The following is a 1695-nucleotide window of genomic DNA, read 5'->3' as shown; positions in this document are numbered from 1 at the left end:
ACTGGCTTAGTGGGAGCAGGTTATACTTTTCTGTGCCCTTCAGAAAAGGGGGGCAACATATGTGGAGGTTCCAAAGCAAGAAACAGATCAAACAGAACGCAGAAAACTTTCCTAACAGCTATATGAAAAAGAGCCTCAGTACCTGAAATAAGTCACCAAATAGACTTTATTCCAATTTAATCTCTGATTTTCTTGTGCCACGTAACCTAGACAGCTTGCTGGAGAACATAGCTTTCAAGCAAAATCCTGAAATGTAAATATGTATGAGGTGACAGACACAAAGAAAATGAGAGAGAATCACAACAGAAGCACAACCTCCTCAGTTAGGCAGTGCCATGGAAGCACATTCCTCACAACTGATTAAAATACACGCTTCTCTTCCAAGTGACTTGGTTCCTATTTTAGAGAAGGTCTTGAATAGCTGTCTGATATATAAAGCAAGACCAAAGAAGAGAAGGATGAACTCACACCCAAAAGATCCCGTGAAAACTCAGTATCTACACACAAGGTCATTGCAGAAAACCACACACAGCCTTTTCCCTTTTCATTAATTTAAACGGCTGCTATAGTCCTTTTCCACACGTGAAAAGTCAGGGGCATCCTTCCATCCAGAGAACTCAGCATTCCAACTCTCTCATCAAGTTAAATCAGTGTCATAGTGGCATTTAGTCTCTTGGCTCCAAAAGTTGATATATTTAAGTGTAGGGTACTTTCTGGGCAAGCATGTGCAGGAAACGATATAATAAAGGGTGGAGCAAATGAATCCAGTTAGTAAACATTTTGAAAACCCACACTGCACAGAACACCATTTCCAGCTCTAAGAGAGGGAGGGAGGGCGGGAAAAGGGTAAAGGGAGGAAAGGAGGCAGAGAAAGAGAAAGAAGACAATGAACAAAAGGAAAAAGAGAAAAATCCCTGAAATAGGCTGAAACTATGATAAAGTCTCAATAAGTGGAATTTACAAGAAAGTATAGAAGAGAATTAGTAGATAGAAAGATATCCCTAGCCATTCTGTGAAAACTTACCTTGTGAGGAACTGAAATAATGAAAACAAGATTGGAGGTAACCAAGGATGTCAGCCACAGCTGGCAACCAAAGGGAGTCACTAATCAAGCTGTTTCATGTTCTCAGGTGGTGAGAATGACCAGCTCCCAATCATTAATGCTAACTGTTGCTGTGTGGAGCTTGAAGTCTCTTCAGTTTTTCCTTTGCTGAGAACTTTCTGGTCACTTTAAAGTTCTCAATACCTCTTTTGGTGGGCAAAAGTAGCAAGAGAAAAAAAGAAAACCCATTTTCTTGCTGGCAAATAGCCCTCACTTAATGTTTGGTTAGAAACAAATGGGAGACATGAACCAACAACACTAATGCGGGGGGTGGATGTAGGCTGACTGTGCACAGGCTCACTGGTGGCCCAGCCAGTGGCATTTGTGAAGGGAGCACCCGCTGCACTGAACATGAGGGGAGTTGGATACCGGCCAAACAGCCATCACACCAGCCAGGATCATCACACCAGCCAGAGTCTGATCAAACAGGCCAGAATCATCACACCTGCCAGAATCATAACACTAGCCAGGGTCATCACACCTGCCAGGCTCATCACACCAGCCAGAGTCATCAAACCTGCCAGAGTCATCACACCTGCCAGGGTCATCAGACCAGCCAGGGTCATCACACCAGCCAGGGTTCTCACACCAGT

At 43.6% G+C, this 1695-nt stretch overlaps 1 annotated feature.

The window, feature by feature from the left end:
• Window positions 1208–1257: an enhancer, noted in NCBI's record as "active region_25425". NCBI's record gives its function as "activates an Ori minimal core promoter by ATAC-STARR-seq in GM12878 lymphoblastoid cells {active_cell/tissue: GM12878}" and the evidence as "EXISTENCE:reporter gene assay evidence [ECO:0000049][PMID:35858748]".

Source organism: Homo sapiens, chromosome 6, assembly GCF_000001405.40.
Source record: "Homo sapiens chromosome 6, GRCh38.p14 Primary Assembly".
Classification (NCBI taxonomy): domain Eukaryota; kingdom Metazoa; phylum Chordata; class Mammalia; order Primates; family Hominidae; genus Homo; species Homo sapiens.
Note: the sequence above shows the minus strand (reverse complement) of the source record. Positions and strands in the feature narration are given on the sequence as shown.